The sequence below is a fragment of the Homo sapiens genome, chromosome 7 (genome assembly GCF_000001405.40).
Source record: "Homo sapiens chromosome 7, GRCh38.p14 Primary Assembly".
NCBI classification, from domain to species: Eukaryota; Metazoa; Chordata; class Mammalia; order Primates; family Hominidae; genus Homo; species Homo sapiens.
In genome coordinates this window covers 54,322,846-54,349,941 of record NC_000007.14, presented here as the reverse complement: position 1 = coordinate 54,349,941, position 27,096 = coordinate 54,322,846, and the positions used below count along the sequence as shown (strand labels likewise).

The window sequence follows — 27,096 nt, the reverse complement described above, 5'->3', positions numbered from 1 at the left end:
TCTTTTTACTTGTCAGCTGAGATTCCATGTGCAGCGAGGTTTCGTTTTCATCACACAAATGTTTGAGGAAGAAAAATTCCTGACAAGTCATATTAAGGATGTAATATATTTTATTAAATATTAGTATTTCATTAAAGAAAGAAATGGTAATGTCAAACATTACATGAGAAAGAAAAAAAATAGCTCAATGCAAATGAAAATTTGATCAAATGCATACAAATTAGAAACATTTTAAAATATGTTAATTAAAATTACAGGCTTTATTCCCATTTCATGATTTACTGTCCTGGAGTGCTGTTCACATGTAATGAAGGAGGTACTATTAAACAAAAGTATTGAAAAATAAAATCCCATTTACTCACAGGCAGTGGTCAGAATTGAATCACTTTGCTCCAGATTCCCGACTGCAGTACTTGGCAGCTGTTATTAAGAGCCTCATGTCCTTTCCTCATGTCTTCCCACAACTCAGTTCTTTTTCTTATTGTTCTCTGCATGCCAGCCGATGCACTTCATCATTCTTACATCTGAGTCATCAGCACAGAACAGGGTATTCTAGGTGCAGGTCAGCAGAAGTGTCCTGAAATGGAGCATAATGTTCCTGCTTCATGACATTATGTCCATATTGTAGCTCAGAAGTGTATTAGTTTCCTTTTGGCTCAAGTCTTCAGACAAACTAATATGTACATAATTTGGCCTCCCATAAAATCGCAACTTTTAGAACTTTGCCAGTATATGTTAACATATTAAAATTTACATACTCTCAAGTAATCACATGAATTATCTATTGTTCCAGGCATTTGAAATCGTATAGGTTAGCAAGGAAAATATTTTGTATATTAAGTATATGACATATATAATTACATACTAAATTAAGAGTGTTATTTTTGCTGTTGCAAAAATACTATATATGATGAGTGTATTAAACAGGGTAAATGCACATAAATTTTTTCTTTTTCTTCCACATATAGAACTCCCTTTGAAGATTGGCAGTCTGGCAAGGGAGATCATTTTCCAAACTCTTGAAAACGTGTGAGGACTCATGACCTGTTACATCAATGGAACATGAAGAGAATTGAAGTGTATCACTTCTGCGCCAGGGAGCCTAATGGAAGAGGTGCCCATCCACCCTCTTTCCTCATCCGACAGCTGGATGGAAGGATACCAAGGCTTTAGGAGAAGGCAAAGCCCCGTGATGGGAGAGGCCTGAGCACCTCACAGTGCGTGGAAGCCAACTCCTCACCAGGAACACATGCAGTGGCCCTATGTGTGCAAGGCATCCATCTCCATTGTTGGAGCTGACCTTTTGGGTTATTTTGTAATGGCAGTTTACATTACCTTGTTAACACAACAGAACACTGTCAAAGAAATGCTCTATGGTGCCAACCCACTATAGCCCTTGAAATAGAAATTACATATCAGTCAAAGGTCTCCAGAGAAACAGCAGCAGTAGGATAGATGTGATCTTCACAGATAGACAGACAGATAGATAGATAGATAGATAGGCAGATAGATAGATAGATAGATAGACAACTGGACACAGATAGATTGACCACAGACAGAGATAGAGATAGATAGATAGATAGATAGATAGATAGATAGATAGATAGATAGATGATAGATAGATAGATAGACAGAAAATGAGACACAGATAGATAGACAGACAGAGATAGATAGATATAGATAGACACAGATAGAGATAGAGATAGACAGATAGATATAGATAGGTAGACAAATAGACACAGAGATAGATAGATAGATAGATAGATAGAAATAGAGAGATAGATGGACAGATAGACAAATAGACACAGACAGATAGAGATAGATAGAGATGGACAGATAGAAAAATAGACACAGATAGATAGATAGATAGACAGATAGATAGACAACTGGACACAGATTGACCACAGACAGAGATAGAAATAGATAGATAGACAGACAATGAGACACAGACAGATACACAGACAGATAGAGATAGATAGATAGATAGATATAGATAGACAGACACAGATAGAGATAGAGAGACAGATATAGATAGACAAATAGACACAGAGACAGATAGAGATAGAGAGATAGATGGACAGATAGACAAATAGACACAGATAGACAGATAGATAGAGATAGACAGAGACAGATAGAAATGGACAGATAGAAAAATAGACACAGATAGATAGATAGGTAGATAGATAGATAGATAGGTAGATATTTTCAGGATCAGATTGGCTTATGCGGTTGTGGGACTGGCAAGTCCCACATCTGTAAGGTAGTCTGGCATCTGGGAACTCAGCAGGATTTCTGTGGTAAGGTCTGGAGGCAGAAATCCTTCTTCTCTGAAAACCCCAGTTTTTGCTCTTAAGGTCTTTGACTGATTGAATGAAGCTCATCTGCATTATCAAGGATGATTTTTATTTTACTTAAAGTCAATTGATTGTAACATTTATAAAATGCCTTCAGAGCAGCATTTGGATTAGTGTTTGACCAAAGAACTTGACCCCATAACCTGGATGAGTTGACACATGAAGTTAACCATCTCATCCCCTCCCCCACCGGCTCACACAGAAGGCCAACTTCATCCTTACCTTTGATTAGGTAGGAATGGGCACCTGACCCTGGGAAAATCCAGCTGAGGCCAGCAATGTACATCTTGTGACCTAAAAGGAAAAAAGTATATATTGTACCCAAAGTATTTTTTGCAGTAATTTTCAGTTGGGAAATACAAAAGCTGGTAAGCAACCAGGAAGGCAAAAGGCAGAAGCATGTGTAGCTTTAAGCCAGGGCCAAGACAATCAAATTTACGTACCAATTGGCATTATGAGAAAGCAGCAAATAAAAGGTTTTCAACTACTGAAAAGGGCGTGGCTTCAGAGAGCATCAGAGATGACATAAGATAAAAATGGAGACACCAGGAAAAAGGATGATGATGCTGTCTCAATGCTAATTGCAGCTTCCATGAAATCTATCATAATTGAAGCTTTATTTTCAAATAACCTGTATATCCTGAAAGTAACTGCTAGTGCCCAACTAGTGATGGCTTGAGTATCTGCTTTTCTTTTAAACAAAAAGCCCTAAGAGAAGCCAATAGGAAAACTTTGCTAGAGGAAGTGTTGTTTAATCTCAAGTTTGAGAAATAAATGGGTGCAGTAAACAGAGGCAAAAGTTCAAACACATTGTGCATTTTCCTCCCATTCCAGTCTGTGCTCCACTTTGCAAGGAAAAAGAGAGGGAAGGTCCAAAAACGAATTCCGAGGGTATGATTTATGCTGTCAGCAATGGGAAGCCATTGAATAAATTTTAATCCCTGGGAGATAGATAATACTCTGTTAACACTGATTAATCTTGAGTGAGTACAAGGTAGAGGTCATTCAGTTTTCACTTTAAAAAATATTGTATTTATTTATTTACTTATTTAATTTAATTTTTTTTTTGAGACAGACTTTTGCTCTTGTCACCCAGGCTGGAGTGCAATGGCAAAACCTTGGCTCACTGCAACCTCTGCCTCCCGGGTTCAAGTGATTCTCCTGCCTCAGCCTCCTGAGTAGCTAGGATTACAGGTGCCCGCCACCACACCCAGCTAATTTTTTGTATTTTTGGTAGTGACCGGGTTTCACCATGTTGGCCACGCTGGTCTCGAACTCTTAACCTCAAGTGATTCACCCGCCTTGGCCTCCCAAAGTGCTGGTATTACAGGCATGAGCCACTGTGCCCAGCCCAGTTTTCACTTTTAAAAATAATTGTCATTGGATTTTCTGTGAAGTAAGCATGTATTTTTTCAGTAAGTGTAATCAAAACAAAAATTGCATACTTATCTCTGTAAAATATGATACAAAGATAAAAAGCAAAAAAAGAATGATAAAATGTAAGCAATGCCTTTAGAATTAATGAATGTAGATTCAAAGCAACCAAAATGTCAGATTTGATTTACTTAAGATCTTTCTGGAATGTGTGGCTAGATTGTGGTGGTGTAGAGATGCACACAAGCTAAGGCATGAGTTAGAATTGGCACCACAGTCTAGGCTGATGCAAGGCCATGGAGAGCCAGTCTGGTTCAGGGCTGGTCCGGAGGATGACAGATACAAAGCATGTCAGATAGGCTTGATGATGCTTCCCACCAGCTAGAGTGTGGGAGGAATGACAAAGGGAAGCTAAACATGGCTTCCAATTTCCTGACTTCAGCAATTAAGGTGATATTAATTATTTCTCTCAGAACATAAATGCAAATATGTTATGGATAGCTTACTTCAAAAGAAAATGCAATAGGGTTGTTTTGAATTGAACAGACACATATAAATTCTCAAGTAATTAGGAATAAGAACTGGAATTACAAACGTTTTAAAAACATTTTAAAAGATTAAGAGAGTTGCCCTCGACGGTGCTCTAAAATCTTGTTTACGAGAGAGCATATATGGGGGTTTATGGTTGTAATACAAGGAGGAAAGAGAGAATACAACAAGCTGCTCCTTGCTTACTTTTTATTCTTTTCAACAATTCCAGGGAATTACTGGATATTGAGTTGCTTGGATACTGCCACGTGAAACGCAGACCTGCTGTGACCCCCATTTAAGTAGTGGAAGTTGGAGAGCTGCACCTCTGGAGTTGACTGTACCTCTGGAGTTGGCTGAACCTCAAATCAAACTGCCCGAAACCAGAGCTCTAACGCTGACAAGTTACATATGTTCTGCTTGCTAGTGTCTTGATTGGAACACATTTCATTTTAAGTCATCTACATTTAACATAAATATTTAATCAAAGTTGTCAAGTGTGCTTTGAAGTATCAGGCAACAGTCATTTTTCAACTCAGGTGTCTAGACTAATCAAACTTTAAGAAAGAGTGCAACATTTATAATGATACCATCATTTTATTGAATCATTCCAGCTAAATTTGATTTCAGTGCAAAAATCACAACATTTGCTTTTCTCTGATAGAAATGCAGCTCAGAGTTATAATTTTCTTTTTGATTGAAGGGTATACAGCTTGTGGTGTTTGGGGCTCCAAATGAAATTCAAAACTATGTGACTCTCATTCAGACCCATATTCTGTGACCCTTCCTTTAAATTGAGAAAGGAAAGGGGAAACTTTTTTCACACTAATTCTCTACCTCCCCACTTTTGTCAGGCTAAATTTCTGCTCTGCTGAAAGAGGTAAATCTTTTGCTAAAGCTGTTGAACTGCACAGATAATACCTGCAAAATATTATTCTCGAAATATCAAGAGAATGATGTTATTGGAGGTTGTATCATCCTTCACTGAGTCCCAGAGTTGAGGTGAAGATTAAGTTAGATGATATACATGGATGCTATTGATGGAATCACTATTAGAAAAAAAGAAACTATAAAAACGTTCAACTTCCATTACAATGTTATTGAAAACAGCATTTGTTTGTTTGTTCCACTAACTTTTCTAAAATTCTTTAAAGAACATATTTGATTATATTGAGACATACACTTTTTGATATTGCCTGACTCATAAAAGAGGTACCTTCGGACATTTTAAAAGTATACGAGTTTTCAGTACTAACAGATTGTTAAAACTGAGTTGCTTTGGTTTGGGGCAGAATTTTTATTAAATAGTGGTAAAAATGAAAATCAAAAGAATATTTTCAAACCTAAGTAGAGAAGGTCTGGTGTAATTTTCCAGCAATAAGTCCCAGGAGAAAGCCTTGCCCAAGATTTAGCCATTGGAGCAATTGCTTACTCAAGGTCTTGGTTTTTTTCTAGCCCAAATGTATTTCTGTGACCAGTGCATGGGCTAGTGTGACAGGAGGCAGCCAGCCAGGTAAAGCTATGACAGTGAAGTAATGACATCAGGTTCAGAGAAGGAAAACTGCATATACTCATGTGGAACAACCAGTAAATAGATCAGATCCCAAACAGCATTATTCACAAGCCACATGCAGAGGACATATGCGGAAGATGTGCTCAGCGTTGGGCCACATGTTCTATCCTGCCAGTTGCAGGCATTCCTGCTCAGTCAATTGAGGTCAGTTGCTTTCCATCAGAGGCGAGTCTGGCCATCAGGTCTCCAGGAAGTCGTGTGAAATCAACAACAGAAGACAGAAGGTACGCTGGTGGCATCTGTGGGTTCTAATGTGCAAAACTCTAAAATCCAAATATCTGGAAGTCCAGAATTGTCTGTGTAAGTTTGAGGCAAAGTTGAAGAGGAGACCAGATGACTAAGAGAGGGTAAGCTGGTGTCACCAGGTCAGGAAACAAAGATGGCGTGGCAGTAAGGGTGTGTCCTCCAGGGCTGGGGCTGGACGGATGTGGAGCGGAGGAGTCACAAAGCTGGAAATGCACGCAGCCAGATGCTAGGTTTCAAAAGGCGACATGTTTTAAGATGTGTTATAATTTTGTTGACCAGTTTGAAGCTGTTTTCTTTAAATTGTGTAAGCTTCGGCGGACCCGCTAAACCTAGACACATTCCTGAGTACAAGTGTCTGGAGAGGACTGGATGTTTGCGGGATGAGAATAAAGCAACTCACATCAGACTGTAGCCTCTTAAGGGCAAGGCATCCCACCAGTGCCTGTTAACAGCTCGCTTCTACAGAGACATGATGTGGACATTGACTCTATCTGTAATGTATTTTGTAATTTAAGTTAATATTTAGCATTTTTATCAACCTTGGCTTGAGGACGTTAGGCCACAGTGGAATGGCAGATTTAAAATAATGTACAACAATACTAGGCAATTTAGAGGAAACATTTTATTTTCCATTATTAAATGTAAAGGAAAGGATGACTGTTTCTTATCCAATGCTTAACACCAGAAGTATTTTGAATTTTGGATTTTTTTTTTTATTTTGGAATGTTTGCATTATACTTCCTGGTTGGGTATTCTGAATCCAAAAATCCAAAATCTGAATTGTTCCAGTGAGTATTTTTTTTGAGATCGTCTTGTCAGTAGTCAAAAAGTTTAGACTTTTGTAACATTTCAGACTTGGGTTTTTTGGATTTGGGCTATTCAACCTGTACCAGTTTTGTACCTGCTACTATCCTACAATCTCATATCTCCTCTTCCCTTGTGTGGCCAGCAGACTATGAGTAAAAATCCATGGGGTATTTCTGTGTTCACGAATTTGGGGAGATGATTCATCCCTAAAAGACAACTCAAGGCCTCTTCAAGAATCCTCCAACTTTCTCATTTCCTGAAGTTCTATATATTTTCATTTGCTACTGAAAAAGCAAACTAAATTTTATGATTTGCTGTTTATTGAAGCATGTGTTTTTCTCTGGAACATTGTTTATGAATGTGTGTGTATGCATGGGTGTGTATAGTTTACATGGGTATGATAGTTTACAATGTACAATTTGCTTGTTGACTTATGTTTGTGTATTTCTACTTTAATAGTTCCATGGAGCAGAGGTCTTAATTATATCAGGCTGATTCATACATTTGACATTTTGTATTTTACACAAACTTAGTGCTAATGGTGATCTATTTTTTTCTTAATTTTAGGTCACTGAAAATTAGATTTGATTTTCCTAGTTCAGAGAGTAACTCCTTTATCAAGTTTGATATAAGGTGTTTCTTGGTATCAAATGAAAATTATTAATATTGGCCTTATACCTTTAGAGAATTGAGTTTTGGAATTTAATAAATATTTTCAAAAATCATAGGTAGATTTTACCAAGTATGTGTATACACAGCCCTATAAGATTTTGTTACTGATGCACTTTCTAAATGGCTTATTCCCATGCATTTTGAGAATGAAAGCTTTAGAGGCATTAAAAAAAAAAGTAAGCAGCAGAATCCTATTGACTTCTCAGCCAAAGATGAACTCATTTTCTTCAACTCCTAATGCTCACTGACTAAAAGCCATTTTTTTTTTTTCAAAAATCAAGGACTAAGAAAGGATGTTTTTCAAGAAACACTGCAAGTTACAGGTTAGAGAACATTTAATCAATCTGATGATTGGAGATAATCCTATTACAACAGCAATCTTATCTTGGTTGTTTCCTAACAGGAATGAAAGAAAATCTGAGTGAAAAACACTCCCAAAATTTAAATGATAAACTTACATTTATTGAAATAGTAACTCAAAAAATGGATCGAAGTTGATGAGTATTTTGTGCTAGTTGCTAGGGATACAAAGATGATTAAAATAAACTCATATTAAAATCTGTTAAACCTGTAAAATAAAATGGATTAAAATCCGTTCTTCGAAGAGTTAGATAAATACACAAAATAATAATTAGTGTAGGAAAAGTGACAGTTTTGCGTTAGGGCAGGTGTGTAGGGGAGCACTTCTCAATTTTTTCTCTAGGTTTCTCACTTACTCTCCAAATGTCAGTGTGCCTCAGGATTTTATCCCTGGCCATTTTCCCTTTACGGACTATTAGCAAGTCTTGTGTGAGATTAGTCTTAACTGGCAGCTATAAGCTGAGAGTGTCCACATCTTTATCTCCAGCCCAGATTCCCTGCTAAGGGCCAGCCCCACGTATTCCACCTTGCATTAGCCATCTGCCAAGTAGACAGCCTAGACCCCTTTCATGTTCATAATGGAGAAACAGAACTCATCATGCCCAATTCTGTCTCTCAAATTTATGTCCTCTCTGGTCTCAATAATTTATTCATTCTACACAAACACACACATACACACACATGCATGCACACATGCACACATATATAACTTAAGTCAGATCCAGAATAATTTATTAAGAATAAAAGTTTAACAGAACAAAATATGCATTCATGGAGCTTATAATTTTTTTACGCACAAAACTAAATTATCAGTCACTATTCTGATAAATAATTTGAATTGTGGAGAGTTCTAATCAAGCCTAATCAAGACAAGTAATAGTCATCCAGGTTACTTAGCCAACATATTACTAGCTTTGATTGGGAAGTGAAGAAAGAACTCCTTAGTAAGTTATATTCCAGTGATCAATCATCCCCCATCATATTTTATTATAATTGCAGCCCTTATCATATTTGTGATTATTTTGATAATTTATTTGTTTACTCCAGTGGTTCTCAAAGTGTATCCCATGTATTCACAACACTTTTGACAGGTTTACAAAAATTGAAAACAATTTTTAATTATACTAAGCCATCACAGTCTGCGATGGCTCAGTGCACGTTGGTGCAGCGGCAGCAAGGTGTACTAGCAGGTCATTGAACTCTTCATTGGCGATACTTGCAGGAAAACAAACAAATAAATGCATAAAACCAGTTTTACTTAAGAATGTCTGTTGGCTGTGAGCGGTGGCTCACGCCTGTAATCCCAGCACTTTGGGAGGCCGAGACGGGTGGATCACCTGAGGTCAGGAGTTCAAGACCAGCCTGGCCAACATGGCAAAACCTTGTCTCTACTAAAAATACAAAAATTAGCCGGGCATGGTGGCACACACCTGTAATCCCAGCTACTCGGGAGGCTGAGGCAGGAGAATCGCGTGAACCTGGGAAGTGGACATTGCGGTGAGACGAGATTGTACCACTGCACTCCAGCCTGGATGACAGAGCAAGACTCTGTCTCAAAAAAAAAAAAAAAACAAGAATATCTTTTGATGAAGCACAAAAAGTTAATTTCACTGTATTTTGAGCTATTAGTACCTGTATTATTAATATCTTGTGTTATGAAATAGGAAGTCTATGTTAAGTACTTCCACAGCATACCAGAGTATGATGGAATTCTTGAGGAAAAGTGCTTGCGAAATTAAGTTGTGAGCTGGACTAGAGACTTTTTCATAAAAAATTATCTTTGCTTGAATAAATGACTGAAGATTCTTTATTTTCTTGAAAATGAATAAAGTGAGCCTATCATAAAACTGATGGTATTTTGTTGCCAATAATAAAATTAAAGCTTTGTATCTGCTACCATTGACAGCTTCCCAAGATTTAAAGTCTTTTTGATGATATTTGAGATGATACTAACAAATGCGATTATATATAGTGTAATCAAATGTGTCAATATTTGGAAGATCTTCATAAACCTGTGATTCATTATTTTTCAAATGACTAATACATGATTTTACAGAATCATGAATGGGTAAAAGATCCATTCAAAGTGCAAGATGAAAGGATTTGTATATAACGGAGTCTGGAAAGTTCACTGATATGACTTCACATCCCACATTGCAATTCATCTTTATGAAGCTGCCTCCCTTCAGTGTAATATCAAAGAATAACTGAAAGGCTATTAAAATATGCCTACCTTTTCCAAGGTAGACTTTCTTTATATGCTTCATCGAAAACAACATGTAACAATATTTAACGCCAACACAGATATGAGAATCCAGCCATCTTCAATGAAAGTAGATATTACAAAGATTTGCAAAAATGTAAAACAATGACACTCTTTTCATTGTTTTAATTTTTTTAAATGGAGTTATTTTTTCATAAAAATATTTTCATGTTAATATGTAATGACTTTCCTGTTATGTAGAAATAAGTAAATAAAATCTTAAAATGCCACAGTGTTAATTCTGACTACAGTAAATATCAGTGGATATAACTCACGTAAACAAAAGTTTTGATGAGATCTCAATTTTTAAGAGTATAAAGTGGCCTTCAGTCCAAGGAGTTGGAGCAGTGCTCACTGGCCAAATATGCTGTCTCTCTCCATTAGAAGGTAAGGATCATGAGAACAGTGATCTTGCCTGACTGCCACCACTTTTATCTCCACTTTGTGGAACACGGCTGGCAAATAGCACTGAGAAGCATTTCCGCTGCAGCTGTCCATGCTTGCACATCTGGTTTTAATTCACCACACCCCAGTAAATACTGACCTGAAGGCCAGCAGCTTCTTTCCAGCTGTTGGCTGAGTCATTTTTACATGCCATGTCCAGGCCATTCAGATATCTCTTCGTCTTCCTTGGGCTAATCAAGTTATCACGGAGCACATGAAAGCCAGGAAAGATGAGATGATATTTTAAAGTTCTACAAATATTATTTCTTTATTTAGGAAAAATGTACTTGCTGAAGATCAGCCACAAAAATGGAATCCAAACTTGATTGGAATACTTTAAATTACCCCGCAATTTTTAAGCGTAGGGTCCTGGCAGAACTTTTAAGAGTTAAATATATCTGCCAATTTCTTTGTCTAATTATATTGAAGATGGTATTTACTTTTCCTACCCTTATATATTGTGGATTTGTAAGGACTGCCTTTCTAAGAGTTGTCACTTCTTATCAGTTGAAACGTCAGAAACGGTGTAGCCCCTCTTAATATATTCCTACTGAAAATTACTCTGCAGTGGTGTTGTAACCATAATTAATTGTTTGCAATTTGATTTGGGATCCACAGGAGAAAAAGGTGAAACATGATTTCCAAGTAGTTATGTTTACCATTATGGTTTAATGACACGCATTAGCCATACAAATGCAAAAGCAACATAACCTAGGGACCGGATTCTAGTACTTTATGCATAGAAGCAGCCAAGTGATTCTCATTAGTGTTTATAGAAGTCAAACCCACCATAAACCTTAAGGCAATGATTACAACATATTGCCTGGTGTTCTTACAAGTAAACACTATCTAAGAGAGAGTAGTTTGGCATATGAATTTCAAAAAGCACTGTTATTCATGTGAACACCCACCGGAGATCAAAGCACATCTAAGCACAAATAAAAGTTTCTTAGTTTTAACTAGTAGTTAGGAGTTTTTAAAAGCTGTAACTCAATAGAGAATGTTTAAGCAGAATGATGCTCACAAAAGTAGTCACACGTATCTGCTGCAGTGACTAAATAGATCTAGGACTTAATTTCTTTTTCCTTAAATCTGAAATATTGACAGATTTTCTACTATGTACTTGAGACTGAGAGTAGTACTACACATAAGTTGCTAAGTGTAAGGGTGATTATTTTTTAAATGTCTCTCCTAGAAAGCTAAAAAGAACGGAAACAAAGTCACAAAAATAACTGTTTATAAACTGTGTACTTAAAAGGAAATTTGATTCTGGCCTTTGGCCTGGCTGGGAATAAACTGGGAAGCTGTTACTCCATCCTAACAACAAGTGAAAAGCTGAATGAACTGAAAATCAACAGCCTTCTTAGACCCACAGAAAAGTGAGGTCTCAGGACAAACCACTATGCCTAAAAGTGGAGAAACAGACAAACAGGTAATGAGAATCACAGCATAGCAAAACAGAAATCTCTGTAGGAAACAGTACCAGGTACTTCACGTTATACTTTCAACAAAAAATTACAAGGCATACTAAAAAGCAAAACATACAGCTTGAAAAGACAGAACAAGCATCAGAACCAGATTCAGATATGGCAGGGATGTGGGAATTATAAGATTAGGAATATGAAAGAATAATGTTAAAGGCTTTGTTGGAAAAAGTAGGCAACACCCAAGAACAGATGGGCAACGTAAGCAGACAGCTGGACATTCTAAGGCAGAATTAAATAAATTCTAGAATCAAAAACACTGTCACAGAAAAATTTTAAATGCTTTTAATGGGCTGGACATGGCTGAGGAAAGGATTTTCATATTTGAAGATATGTCAATAAATACTTCCAAAATTGAAAAGCAAAGCAAAAAAAAAAGACTGAAAAAAATAAAATAGAATATTAAAGGATTTGAGACAATTACAAAAGGTGTAACATACAAACACAGGGAATGCAAGAAGAAAAAGAAAGAGAAAAAGGAACAGAAGAAATATTTGAAATAATAATGACTAAGAACTTCACCAATTAATATGAGACCCAACCACAATTTCAGGAAGTGGAGAGAATACCAAGTAGGATAAGTGCCAAAAAGAAAAAAAAAGCACAAGAAGAGAGAAGGAAAAAGCCCTACACTTATATTCAGGCATATAATATTCAAACTGCAGAAAATCCAAAATAAAGAAAACATATTGACTGAAGCCAGAGGGAAAAACATCTTATTTATAGAGCAGTAATTATAAGAATTACATCTGACGTCTCAGAAACCAGGCAAGCAAGCACAGAACAGAGTGAAAAATTCAAAGTATTGAGGAAAAACCACCAGCCTGTAATTCTGTACCACGCAAAATTACCCTTCAAAAGTGAAAGAGAAATAAAAACTTTCTCAGACAACCAAAAACTGAGGGAATGTATTGTCAGTAGACCTGCCTTGCAAAAAATGCTTTTTAAAAAAGTTCTTTAGAGAGAAAAAAAATTATACAGATCAGAAACATGGAGCTACATAAAGAAAGGAAAGATTTAGGGAAGAAATAAGGGAAGATAAAATAAAATCTTCTATTTCCTATTCTCAATTGAGCTAAGAGACAACAGTTTGTTCAAAATAATAATAACTGATATATTCTATGATTATAGCTTATGTGTAAGTGAAATGAATGAGGGTAATGACACATGGCATGGGAGGGAGGAATTAGGAATATAATACTCTAATACACATATAAAACATGTAAAATAGAATGTCTCTACATTATAATATTCCTTTAACACAAGAAAATGTGCAAGGTGTTATAAGAGAGTTAAACAGTGAGAAGTAATTTAAATTGGGTGGCTAGGTAGGGCCTCTCCAGGGAAGGGTATTTAGGATGAGACTGGAAGGATGCATCAGTTAACCAGATGGAGAGCTATGAAGAGTGTTGTGAGCAGAAGTAAGAGAATGTGTCAAGTACCATGCATTTTGCCTCATGAGAGACACTGAAATAGAAAGAAGCTGTGAGATAGAGAAAAGGAGACCAGGGCAAGCTAGAGAAGGAGGTCGATTCAGTTCCCGCAAGGACTTTTAGGTGATGGGATGCTGGTGTGTTGGATTTTATGAGATGTGCTAACCTGGGGTATGACATGATCTTAGTTATATTATAAGATAATTATGTTTGCTATGTGGAGGATTGATTAATTGTCACAAAGCAAGATTGAAACTATAAGAACAATTAAGAAGCTACTGTGTAGTTTCAGTGAAAGGTAGTGGCTATTTGCTCTAGGTACTTAGAAGTGGTATGGAAAAAAGTGAATAGATATACACACACATGTACCTGACATAAAAACAGAATTGTTATTTCTTGGCTTATAAATTTCTAGCCATATTAGTTTGACTATCACACTGGCATAAAAGAATCAGGTGACAAAGATCAAATTTGAAGACTCTAGAGCATGCTCAGGCCTTATCACAAAGTAATGGTAAAGAATACTTCGTTCTCTAACAAAATAACTGGAACTTTCAGTTTGGTTGTAATTTCAGTAGCATAGGTTCTAAGTAAAATTTTCTTTCTAGATAATCTCTGAAATCATCTTTTCTTTCTTTGAAAATTTGTCCTTTAAAACTCTATTTCAAGGTTCTTTCTCATCTTCTTCTATTGGTGACATGGCCTCATTTTCTGTCAAGGAACCAACTGTTCTAAATTTCTTGAATCCCTGGCAATGTCTTTGAATTTTCCTATTTGTCATCTTCCAAATTTAACCATTTACCTTTATCTTCATATGTAGCAGTTCCCACATACCTTCAATGCATTTTTAAATGATACAGTATTTTGCTTAAGTCCATGCTGCAATAAATACCCTGGTACATGCCCCCTGATGAACTTGTGCAAAACATCCCTAGGATATCTCATTGAGTAGCTCTCAGCTGGCAGCCATGTGCTCCAGGAATTCAGAAAATACTATCTTGCTGTCTCTGGCTTCCGTTAGTATATTGGGAAGCTCATTGTTGGTCTAATCACCATTCTTTTACGGGAAATCTCTGTTTTCTTGGCTGTTTTAAATGATTTTCTTTGCTTCGCTTGTTTTATTCTGTTCTTTCATGTACCTAGTGTGATGTTTGTTAGCTTTCCTGAATTTAAAGATTCATTTTGCTCATTAATTCTAAACAATTCTCACGTGTTACCTCTTAGAGTATGCTCCCACTCCACCCCTATCTTTTTTCTCTCCTCCTAAAACTCGGATCAGTAGTATGTTTGACCTTTTCATTTTCTCTCCTATACCTTCCCACCTGTCTTTTATGTTTATTTCCTTATATTTGGGTTGCCTTCTACATAATTTCTTCAACTCTAACTTCCAATTCAGTAATTGTCTCAGATGCTGTTTATTATATTGCTAGACATTCTGCTGTGCTCTATTCCTAGTCTGCCTTTTCATTTTTAGTCAAAACCTTTGTTCATTTAAAAATCATATTAAGGAATCTTACTACATAATCTATAACTGATCACTCAAAAACCTTCTATGAAGCTCAACCATAAAGAGAAACCCACAGATACACCAAAAATAGAATATCCTTACAGTTGCCTCAGAGGAAAGTCCTGTGCACAACCTCTGCCCACAGAATTAAATTCTGACCCTTCCACTTACTAGTGAGGTGAGTTTGAAAAATTCCTTGACTATTCTGAGTCTTAGTCTTAATATCTGTGTAAGGTAGTATTAGTTCCTATCTCCAAAGAATGCGGTGATGATTAACTTAGCAAACATATTCAGTATTCAGAACAGAAGGTGGAAAACAGAAAAAAAGGAAATATGAGGAAAAAGAATCAACAACTGATGTTTTTAAAATCTCATTTAAAAGCTACAGATTTCTCTAACAATGGCTCATTGGCTCTGTTAGCCTTTAGAAATAACTACATAGCAAATCACTAAATGAGGAACAATTATGTCAAATTGTGAATAACTCATTACTGCAGAAAAAATTAAATTGAAATTTTTAGAAAAAGCTATATGACAAAAAATTACCCTTTATTAAAATGTGAGAATATCTGAAACAGTTAGATGGGAAATCAATAATACCTGCTAAATCAAGCCATTGCTGTGGCTGTTCACAATCCCATGCTGAGGTAGCATGCCTCTATGTGGGTTCTGGAAAAGAGGTTTGTTATCCAGTAGTGATGACAACCAGGGGCCCCAGAGAAGGGAGAGACATCAAATGAGAAATGCATCCTCCACATATGAGCTAGGAAATGGGCCTCAACACTGCAACTGTTGTTGTTTGCCCCAATTCAGCTGTGCTGGACATTAGAAGCAGGGGCCAGAAACCTCATATCCACAGGGAATGTAACTGAGTCCGCTTTGCAAGAACCTCAACTTTAGACTCAAACAGCACAATTATCAAAATAGAAAACAAAGTTAAAATTCTTCCCAAAACAAATATCTTGCCCAGATGGTTTTATAGGTGATTTTTTTAACCAAACATCCAACACACAAATACTTAGGATTTTATGTAAATTCTTCCAGAGAATAGAAACAAAAATACTCAGCAATTTTATGAATATAAAAGATGCCACCCTTAGGTACTTAGTGTGAGGCATTTATTATGTCTGTGTCCCAGTAGAAATATAAAAGAATATTTGTGGCAACACTGGTTGCCATGGCCTCGAGGGGAAACAGTTCAAATGTCTAACAACCGATGAATAAATTTTGGCTTGTTGACATAATATATCCAGAGGGGAAAATGGTGAATCAAAGCTAGACATCAGCCAGGACAAACTCAGAAATCTAATGTTGGGGAACAGAAAAAGAAAGTCACAGAAGGGCTGGGCATGGTAGTCCCAGCACTTTGGGAGGCTGAGGCAGACAGACTGCTTGAGCCCAGAAGTTCAAGACCCTCATGAGCCACATAGCAAGATCCCTTCTTTGCAAAAAAAAATACAAAAAATTAGCCGGGCATGGGGGCACACATCTGTAGTCCTAGCTATTCAGGAGGCTGAATTGGGGAAGACTGTTTGAGCCCAGGAGGTCAAGGCTGCAGGGAGTCCTGATTGTGCCACTGCACTCCAGCCTGGCCTGGGTGACAGAGCAAGATCCTGACTTGAAAACAAAACACACAAAATGACTGCTTTATTGTAAGGTCAAACCAGGCAAATCTGAACAACATATTGTTTAGAGAATCAGTCATAGGTGGTAAAACCTTTAAAGAAATTCAAGGGAGTATTTCAGAGGAACCTAGGCCAGCAGCTATTTGCCCCAGGGTGGGGGTGGGGAGGTGGTGTGATGTAAGGTGCGCAGGGCAGGTTTTAAAAGAACTGGTGACATCATTTCTTTAGATGGATACATTGGTTTTAGCATCATTCTTTAAGCTTAAAATATACTAGATAAAATATTTTGTAATTTTGATATATTTAATAATTAAAAAGTAATAAAAGCTAGAGGACATTTGAAGGAAGCAATTTAGACAGTTATTCCATATGTCATTACGATATTATTACGATGGCTCCCTAGTCATTCATGTTCTGAAATTCAAAGCATTTTTAATTTATTCAAAAGTAAAGACAAATAAAAAATGTTTTGCTTATACAATTGGCTGAACAATTTGGAATACCTTTGCTGAGTCGTTTTAATTCAAATTCAAATTAAGTGGATTAACTGTGTCCTCTCTCACAGATAAATACTTCCTTTATTTCCTCCACGTTGTACTCTAAGCATTTAAACTATTTGCTTTCAGAAAGCTATTATCTTTCTTGGTGTGATACACAATTTCCAAATATTCCTGGTCATATTTGTAGATTTGAATGGGCCCAATTGACATCCACATCTTATGTGTCTTCTGAGATATTAACTGAAGCTTGCTTCAATCTCTGACTCTACAGAGAATTCCAGTGGATGTCAAATGAATGAGCTGGATGGAAATGCAATCATTTAACAGTGAGCCAAAATAGGCCCTTTCCCTGAAAGTGATTTTTAGAAGCAGTGTTCTCTGAAGCAGAACATTCTGGAGTATTATGTCCCTCAAAGCATTTGGGTCCTTTAGCTTAAATGCGCATCTCTCCTCATAAGCCATTACATACCTTAAAAATTCTGGAGTGCAAAAATTTGTTGCTTATAAATAGCATATTTATGTGTTAAATATCTGCAGCTTATGGGCCTTCATTCCTTTTTTATTCTTATTGCCCCGAAGACAATTTCTAAAATGATTTTAGAGATATGGAGTAGTAAATGAGGTATTCCTGAGAGAGAGCCTGAAGTGAAAGCAGTTTAGTTTGAAATGTCCCAAGTAATCATTTGGTTTTATATGTGTGCTTCAAGGTAGGTTAAGGTGGGACAAGAGAATGAGCATTTGCTCTTGCACCTGTAATTAAAATGGCAGAATCTCAGAGTTTCCTGGAATAGAATCTTATGTCAAGTTACTAAGAAAAATATAGTGCACTTTTGGCATTACAAGCCAACTATTGACAATGTGATGCAGATTCTGAATGAACAATTTGTTTTGTATTTCAACATAATATGCTTATAAAATCACAAACTATTTGTATTAACAATTAAAATATTAGTTTCAGAATTTATTCATTTTCACATATATTAACTTTTCAGTGATCAGCACTTAGCTCTGTTTCCTGCTTTCCAGCTTGCTAACTGGTTCAAAATAAAATCAAGACTTAGTGAAAACTATGTTCTTAACATAATGGTTTGAAGTATGTCATTTTCTTCTGGTTAAAACAAAAGAAGAGAAATCTTATGTGAACAATCTATGGTCTGAAACATTTACTATGGTTTTATCTTAAAATAATGTAGTGGGTTACTGTGTCTACTTCAACAGCTGCCTTGAGGCTTTGTTTGTTTGTTGGTTCAAATGGCTACCATCAGTCAAAGGAGACAGGCACAGTCAGCTCATTACAGCCTTAGCTGATGTACTAATGTAACTTCTAAGTCGGCTTAACATCAAACTTGCAAAATGCTTAGCTATTAAACAATATTTTGTTCTTAGCTGTATTTAGAAAAAAATGAGGATTTTGATCCTTTCTATATGGAAATGATGACCTTTAGTAGAAGAAAATTCTTTTTATTTATTTACAATTACTAAACTCTACTGCTTGTAAAACTTCAATTAGAAAATGATGTTTAAATCTTGTAGGTAGATATCTGCATGTGTATTTCTGAATTTGAATATGTGTGTATATATGCATAATGACAGAATAAAGTAATTTAAATTTAACATGTAACATAGATATGTAATATATAACAAACATAAATATGAATGTAAATATAGATACATAAACAACATACATACAAACATATAAATATAAATATATACATATAAAATATATGTAAATACATATAAAATAAAAGTATTTTTTACGTATAAAATACCTTAAAAAGATTTTGCTTCAGGCTAAAGATTTCATATGAGTATTTAATATTTCTACCTTTCTAACTTTAATATATTTAAAGTGAGAGTTCTTTGCTATTTTTATATAATTTTTGAATATTAATTTACCATTAATGTGTTATTTTCTTGGTATCTGTAATAAGAAATATATATGGTGGTCCTTACCCTCAGGTCTTTATCCTGAGATAGAGTTCTTAAAATCCTTGCAGTAGGGGTGCTGGAGGAATAATTTGTTCTGTATTTGTTCTTTAATCCTAGCTTCTGACACAGAGCTCCTTTGTAATGTCCTGAGTGACAAAAGCATCTTTTGTTCTAACGGGGTGGCTCTCAGTGGGCTCCTGGATACCCTTAGAGTGAGGGCTGGTTTCCCGGGGAACAAACCACCTGTGTAATGAAGGGGTTGGAACTTTCAGCCCCACCTTCTAACCTCTAGGAAGGGGAGAGGAACTGAAGGTTGAGTTGATCATCAATGGACAATGATTTAATCAACTATGACTGCATAATGAAGCCTCCATAAAAACCCAAAAGGCTGAGTTCAGAAAGCTTCCAGATTGCTGAACACATAGAGATGTCTGGGGTTGGCTCCAATCCAAAAGACGGCATGGAAGCTCTGCTTCTCCCTACATTTCTTGCCCTGTGCATCTCCTCTGTCTGTCTGGCACCCGAATCCTTTGCAATGTCCTTTATGATAAATGGGAAAATGTAAGTAAGTGTTTAGCTGAGTTCTCTGAGTTGCTCTAGCAAATTATTGGAACCCAAGGAAGGGTCCCAGGAACCCAGGTTTATAGCTGGTCAGTCACAAGCTTGGGACTGTCACCTGAAGTGGGGGCAACCTTCTGGGGCTGAGCCCTCACTTGTGGGGTCTGGAGCTTCCTCCAGGTAGATAGAGTCAGAATTGAACTGAATCACAGGACACCGCGCTGGTGTTCACAGAAGCATTGCCTGTGCTGGTGGCAGAAACTCTCACATACATTTTGGTAACCAGAGGTAAAGTGTTGCATTGAGTGTGATTGACTGTGTAAGAATGTAGAGGGAGAAACAGGTTTTTTGTCTGTTTTTTTACTCAAATTAATTTATTATGAATGTGTAGATGTGTCATTTCATTGAAATTTTTCCTGTGTTTCTTCTGAACCCCTGAATTAAATTAAATGTCAACTATATAGACCAGTTATATGTGAAAGAGTTAAGTGCCATCCAATATTTCTTCTGCCTCTCTGCTGTCTCAGACAATCGATCCTGCCATCCCTCAGGAACCTTTAGACAGGTACTATAAGAGTCATGCCTTGTGAGCATTTCCCTAAGTTTCTGTTGTATGTAAAATTATAAGGCCATCTAAAACATGTGTACTCATTTTAGAGGAATCTGTGGTTAAAAAACAGAACATGTAGAATCTGTTCTTTTCACTGAGCAATAATTTTAATAATCCAGAAGAACACTGACAGGCGGGGTTTGGAGAATAGCAGACTGATGTCCCCGATTTTCAGGAGAGCATATTACTGACACCTAATCAGACACCCATGACAGAGCTGGGCATGTTATCATCACACAGAAATACACTTGAAGTGATTTTTAATTTGGGGTGTATTTCCTACACTGTTGAACTTAAGTAACCCCTCAGTTGAAATGTTTAGCATTATGTGGAATATTAAGTGTCAGTGACTCAAGAGTATTTTAGATTGCATTTATTATAAGTGAGTTCTAACTGCCATTCAATCTTGTAATAGAGCTCTCATTTTAATTATTTGTACTTTGCCTTGCACAAAATAAATAAATAAATATGGTTTCTAGTTATACTAAAGCAAATTTTATGTCTAAATAATTTGTATATTGACCTATGATTATATTTATAACTCTTTGTTTAGAGACGTGTAATACAGTAATTTGACCATGTGTATAATAAACATTTGTTTACAAATGGAAAACAGCAAAATGTATGGGTTTTAAAATAAAAATAAAAAACAAGATAATTTTTGTTTTACCTTGGTTATCTTTCTTCTTTCCTGTATTTTTTGTGAGTTTATCGATGATAAAGTGAATTCTCCAAATCTTCCTTGTAAAATACTTTTTAAAAGTACTATATACTTCTAAAGAAGCTTTATATATTTATTCTATTTTCATCTTTGCTTATTTATTTATGAAACACATGAAAATAGATATAAAAGAAAAGGCATTAGTGTAAAAACTGTTATGAATTTGCATGAGTGGATATGCACTTCATTGTTTTAACAAGAAAGGTATAAGCTTTTGTTTGTACATTTGTGGTTGCTTTTTGCCACTAAGGCTAAAGTATAGGATGTGGTGTATTCTGTTGCTTGGCTGTCACATATCCTTTTGTGTAGCATCCTGTATGCTGAGAACAGGTTTTGCAGACTGGAGTGCATGACTCCTGGAACCTGGAAGTGGCTATGGCCAAGAAGAGCACGTAGTAGGGTAAAGGCTGGGCTGGTGGACACTGCCTTCCACCATAACCTCTAGACAAATCACTTTATGTGCAGATTTGTTGACTTTCCGAAGTTGAGTGAGACAGAGTTAAGCGATTCTTATTCTTACACTGATATCATTGAAGTCAACTGTTAATCTCCAATTCAAAAACATAATATTTTAGCTTTATTTGCCCTGCCTGGTCAGTTGTCCAAATGGTAATGTTTCAATCCTATGTCTTTTCTTCTTGGTTATTTTCCTAATTATGATTGATTTTATATTTTGAATCTATGTGCAGCTCCCAGAAAATGTTTTAGCAAGTGGGAAATTTGTAAAATATACTAAAAATTCATAAATAATTTATGACTGTTGTGTAGCAATGTAATCATTCAATACATGAGATAACTGCCAAATACTTGTTTTATTCTTTTGTTCTCTTTCTTTCTTTTTCTTTGTCCCTGCAAAATTATCATTTAAATATACTCTTATTTCTGTTTATAAAATATAACACACATTTATTTTGGAAAGGTTAGAAAATAAAGAAAATATAATAAGCCAACATTTTTATCCAAAATCCCTTCACTCAGAGAACCTCTGAAAACATTTTGTTTAGAGCTTTTCAGTTTTTCTTCCTTTAAAATACACATGGCTCTCACAGTACATTGTAATTTCATGTCTATATTCAGCTTTATTCATACAACAACATAGCATGAGAACTTTCCCCTGTGTTTATATATATCACAAGAGCTAGTTTTGCACAGAATTTAACTAAGAGTTCTCCTCTTACTGGATTGTGATGCTATTTTACAGTTTTAACAACTTTCAATAATATGAAATTAATCATGGTTCATAAATTATCCTGTGCATATTCAATTATACACTTAGGCTGTGTCTTGAGATATTAAATTATTGAATCAAAATGCATGAACATTTTTAAGAATTTTTATACATATTAACATGTTGTCTCACACATGTGCACACCTACACATAATAGCATACAATTTCATCAAGAAATTGGTCATTTCATCAACCTCTACTGAACACCAAAAATGACCTCTACTGTATATTAAAAGTGAAAAGGCACAGTCAATTTAGAAATTAGGCCTAATGAGCCCGTTAACCAAATGGACATTAATTTGGTTCTAAACTTGCTAGCAAGCAACAAATGGCACAGGGCAACTTTATGACAATATCATTTGTGATGCCAGAGACAGAAATTCAATAGGAATTCTTAGAAGGCAATCTTTCTAAAGAAGCTAAAAATGATTATACATATTTATTATTGATACAAGCAGTTTTTATTGGGTGGTTTCTTTTAAAAATCACGAATATGGAGTGCTGGAAACAAGTTAAAATGTAATTCCATAAAATTAATTTTGCAGAAGGTCTATGTAGTTTTCTCAAATTGCCCATATTGCTTTTGGTCTCTAAAGACAGGTATGTAAAAAAGCAAATTTTAGGATATAGTGCAAGTGCAGATGGGTTGAACTTTCTTTCAAAACCTTGTCTTCGAAAAGCATGTTTCAGCTGAGCTTCTCTTAAATAGTGGGTGACGGTGAGTCAGAGATTATACACTGTATTTTCAATGGAATCACAGAGTAAATTTATGCATAGGGCTTTTTTTAACATAAAAGAAAAGAGTGATGTAAAAAAAGCATTTTACAACTCAAGAGGACATGAATTTCATCATCCTTGTTCTCAGAAAGAAAATGCATGTACACAAGACAAAGACAAGAACATGATCCTTTTTTTAAAACACAGCTGGGCTTTGGCTGCAGATTCCAATATAGAGCTTGTGAATTAGACAGCTCGAGTGCACAGAGCTTTTTGCCAAAATAGAGGTGTCCTAGAAGTATAGCAACCAGAGAACTAGGTGGTCTTTTGTTTTTCCTCATGCTCTACTGACCTCAATCTTCTCTCTTACAATGTTGGTGTTTAAAAAGTATTGTAGAATAGGAAAAGAGCTCAAGAACAAAACAGCAGTTGTATACAATTCTCAAACTCACCCATCCTGGGCTTTCTCTGTCATTTACATATATACTTTGCAAGCAGTTCTAACTTTTAACATTGTAGCCAGCCTTCATTCAAAAGATTATTAGGTAATTTAGAAACAAATTATAGAGAGAAGGGGATGATACCAGAGTATCAGGAATATTTTATCGGAGCAGAAGAGTTTAATTAGCCTGTCTACATATTACTCCCATATCATAGATTCCATATGTATAGAAATGTTATTTGGATTACTCTCTATGGAATCAAAGGTCAATAAAAGCCAGTAATCTTAAAAATCCCTTCATGTTATTCCTTATAAATAGAATGTTCTAAAGTAGAACGATGTGTCTGAAGCTATTAATTCCTTATGCGACACAGATGATGTGACAATCATCATGCATACCTATTATTTTAAAACAAGGCAGCATCAATTTATTTCTTTTCTTGTCATAATGGAGGAGAAGAAAAGATAAGATTCTCTTAATTAGAGAAGAAAAACTGTCATCTATATATCTTCTAATATATACACAAATTTATAAATTTGAATATTACTCATCATGATTAAGGGGAAAATTCCCTTAAAGATTAACGATTCAAGGATAAGTATTTTATGATTATTACATGCTGAAAAAGAATAGTCTTATATATGTAATGCTTCATTTTTTAAATTCTATTAAATTTTTTCTTTCAGTGTGCTTTCATTATTTAAAATCCTATTTCAACCAGCAGAATCAACAACTCTTTTTTCTGTCCTGTCTGTTCTGAGATTCTCTCACAAGCAGCTACAAATTAGGAGAGCCTGTGGTCTCAAGCCTCTGTACAAAATCTCATTTGTCAGCACTGGGTGAAACAGTGCAATCCTAAGAAAACAAAGGTGTATAAAAGAAAAAGAAAAAAAAAACATGGATTATGGGGGGAATGCAAGATTTTGCTTCTATCAAAGTGTTGCAAATGTTTTACAATTTGTTTACCTTTCAATGGGGGGGTCCAATATTAATTTTTAATTTAACTAGTCAAAGATATCAATATTTTACTTTATGGGTTCGTTCCTTATGTTCATGATCAGAAAGGCTCCTCAACTTCTGGTGCAAATCAGCCTTCCTTTTATATTCTAATAATCTCCATTCCAAAGAGCTTCTCTGGGCATGCTCCTCATCTCAGGCCAGAAAACACCCATTCACCAATTGTTTGGCTCAATTATCTATTGAGTCATCCTTGACTCTTTTCCCTCACATTCTATATCCAAAACATAAGCAAAGCCTGTTGGTTTTACCTTCAAATACACTAAAAATCTGAGAATTTCTTCTTACCACTAAAGTCACTACCTTGGTGCAGGCTGATGCTATCTCTTGTTTGGATTATCCAAGTAACCTCCTCACTGGGTGCCCTGCTGTAAACCCTGTGGTCCTACCCCTTCTGCCACCTCCTCCCATCAGCTGTGTGAGTGTCCTCCTGAAAATGTAACTCAGATTTTGTGTGCTTGTTCACTAATAACCATCCATTGGTTCCTCTAAGCACTTTGTTCAAACGCCACCCTATTGTCAAGGACCTTCTTGACGACTCAACATTAATAGTATGTCCTATTGCTCACTCTCCCAGTTACTCTGTTTTTTGTTTTTTATTAATTTTTTTAAAAAAGGTTTGATTTGCAAAATTATTGTAAAGATAGTAGAGAGAGTTTCCATATACCCTATACCAACTTCCCCCAGTAGTAACATCTTATATAAGGATGATACATTTGTCACAACTAATGGACTGCTATTTAATTTTAATTAAAATTCCTTACTTTATTCAGATTTCCTCAGCCTTTTTCACAATGTCCTTTTTCTGTTATAGGGTCCCACCTAGGATGCCACATAACATTTAGTCATCATGTGTCATTAAGCTTCTCTTGACTATGACAATTTCTCAGACTTTTCTTGTATTTGATTACTTTGACAGTTTTGAGGAGTAATGGTCAGGTATTTTGTAGAATGTCCCTACAGTGAAATTTGTCTGATGTTTTTCTCATGATTACACTGGGCTAATGTGTTTATTGGAGGAAGAACAGAGAAAAAAATGTCATCTTCATCACATTGTATCAAGAATACCTCTTATCAATATGATTCATGATTGCTGGTGCTAAACTTTATCACCTAGCTTGAAGCAGTTCTTGTCAGTTCTCTTCTCTGCATAGTAACATTTTAAAAACAATTAATTTTCTATATCGTACTCTTTGAAAGAAGTCACCATGGTCAGCCCACACTTAAGAAGAGGGAGTATGCATTTGGAATTTTTCTGCATAGAAGATTTCTCCAGGGGGTGGAGCCAAGATGGTCGAATAGGAGCAGCTCCAGTCTACAGCTCCCAGCATGAGCAATGCAGAAGATGAATGATTTCTGCATTTCCAACTGAGGTACTTGGTGCATCTCACTGGGGATTGTCAGACAGTGGGTGCAGGACAGTGGGTGCAGTGCACCGGGCCTGAACCAAAGCAGGGCGAGGCATCACCTCACCCGGGAAGTGCAAGGGGTCAGGGAATTCCCTTTCCTAGCCAAGGAAAGGGGTGACAGATGGCACCTGGAAAATTGGATCACTCCCACCCTAATATTGCGCTTTTCTGACGGTCTTAGCAAACGGCACACCAGGAGATTATATCCTGCACATGGCTCAGAGGGTCATACACCCACGGAGCCTCGCTCATTGCTAGCACAGCAGTCTGATTTCAAACTGCAAGGTGGCAGCGAGGCTAGGGGAGGGGCGCCTGCTGTTGCCGAGGCTTGAGTAGGTAAAGAAAGCGGCCAGGAAGCTCGATCTGGGTGAAGCCCACCGCAGCTCAAGGAGGCCTGCCTGCCTCTGTAGACTCCACCTCTGGGGACAGGGCATAGCCAAACAAAAGGCAGCAGAAACCTCTGCAGACTTAAATGTCCCTGTCTGACAGCTTTGAAGAGAATAGTGGTTCTCCCAGCACACAGCTGGAGATCTGAGAACAGAAAGACTGCCTCCTCAAGTGGGTCCCTGACCCCCGAGTAGCCTAACTGGGAGGCACTCCCCAGTAGGGGCAGACTGACACCTCACATGGCCGGGTACTCCTCTGAGACAAAACTTCGAGAGGAACGATCAGGCAGCAACATTTGCTGTTCACCAATATCTGCTGTTCCGCAGCCTCTGCTGCTGATACCAAGGCAAACAGGGTCTGGAGTGGACCTCTAGCAAACTCCAACAGACCTGCAGCTGAGGGTCCTGACTGTTAGAAGGAAAACTAACAAACGGAAAGGACATACACACCAAAACCCCATCTGTATGCCACCATTATCAAAGACCAAAGGTAGATGTAACCACAAAGATGGGGAAAAAATGAGCAGAAAAACTGAAAATTCTAAAAATCAGAGAGCCTCTCCTCCTCCAAAGGAATGCACAAAGCTGGACAGGGAATGACTTTGACGAATTGAGAGAAGAGGGCTTCAGATGATCAAACTACTCCAAGCTAAAGGAGGAAGTTCAAACCCATGGCAAAGAAGTTGAAAACCTTGAAAAAAGATTAGATGAATGGCTAACTAGAATAACCAATGCAGAGAAGTCCTTAAAGGACCTGATAGAGTTGAAAACCATGGCGCAAGAACTACGTGATGAATGCACAAGACTCAGTAGCCGATTTGATCAACTGGAAGAAAGGGTATCAGTGATGGAAGATGAAATGAATGAAATGAAGTGAGAAGAGAAGTTTAGAGAAAAAAGAATAGAAA

General features: G+C 36.5%; 1 long non-coding RNA gene across 2 annotated transcripts; it reads right to left on the bottom strand.

Annotated features, from left to right (window-relative positions):
• Positions 1–96: 96 nt before the first annotated feature.
• LINC01445 (long intergenic non-protein coding RNA 1445) lies at positions 97–19,245 on the bottom strand. 2 transcript variants are annotated; one of them, NR_120515.1, is made up of 3 exons: positions 19,124–19,245; positions 2,577–2,648; positions 97–1,044 (listed from the first exon to the last, which is right to left on the bottom strand). It is a non-coding gene; the product is annotated as a long intergenic non-protein coding RNA 1445 (long non-coding RNA). The 2 variants fall into 2 exon arrangements; NR_120516.1 differs by having other exon boundaries at positions 97–577.
• Positions 19,246–27,096: the final 7,851 nt, after the last annotated feature.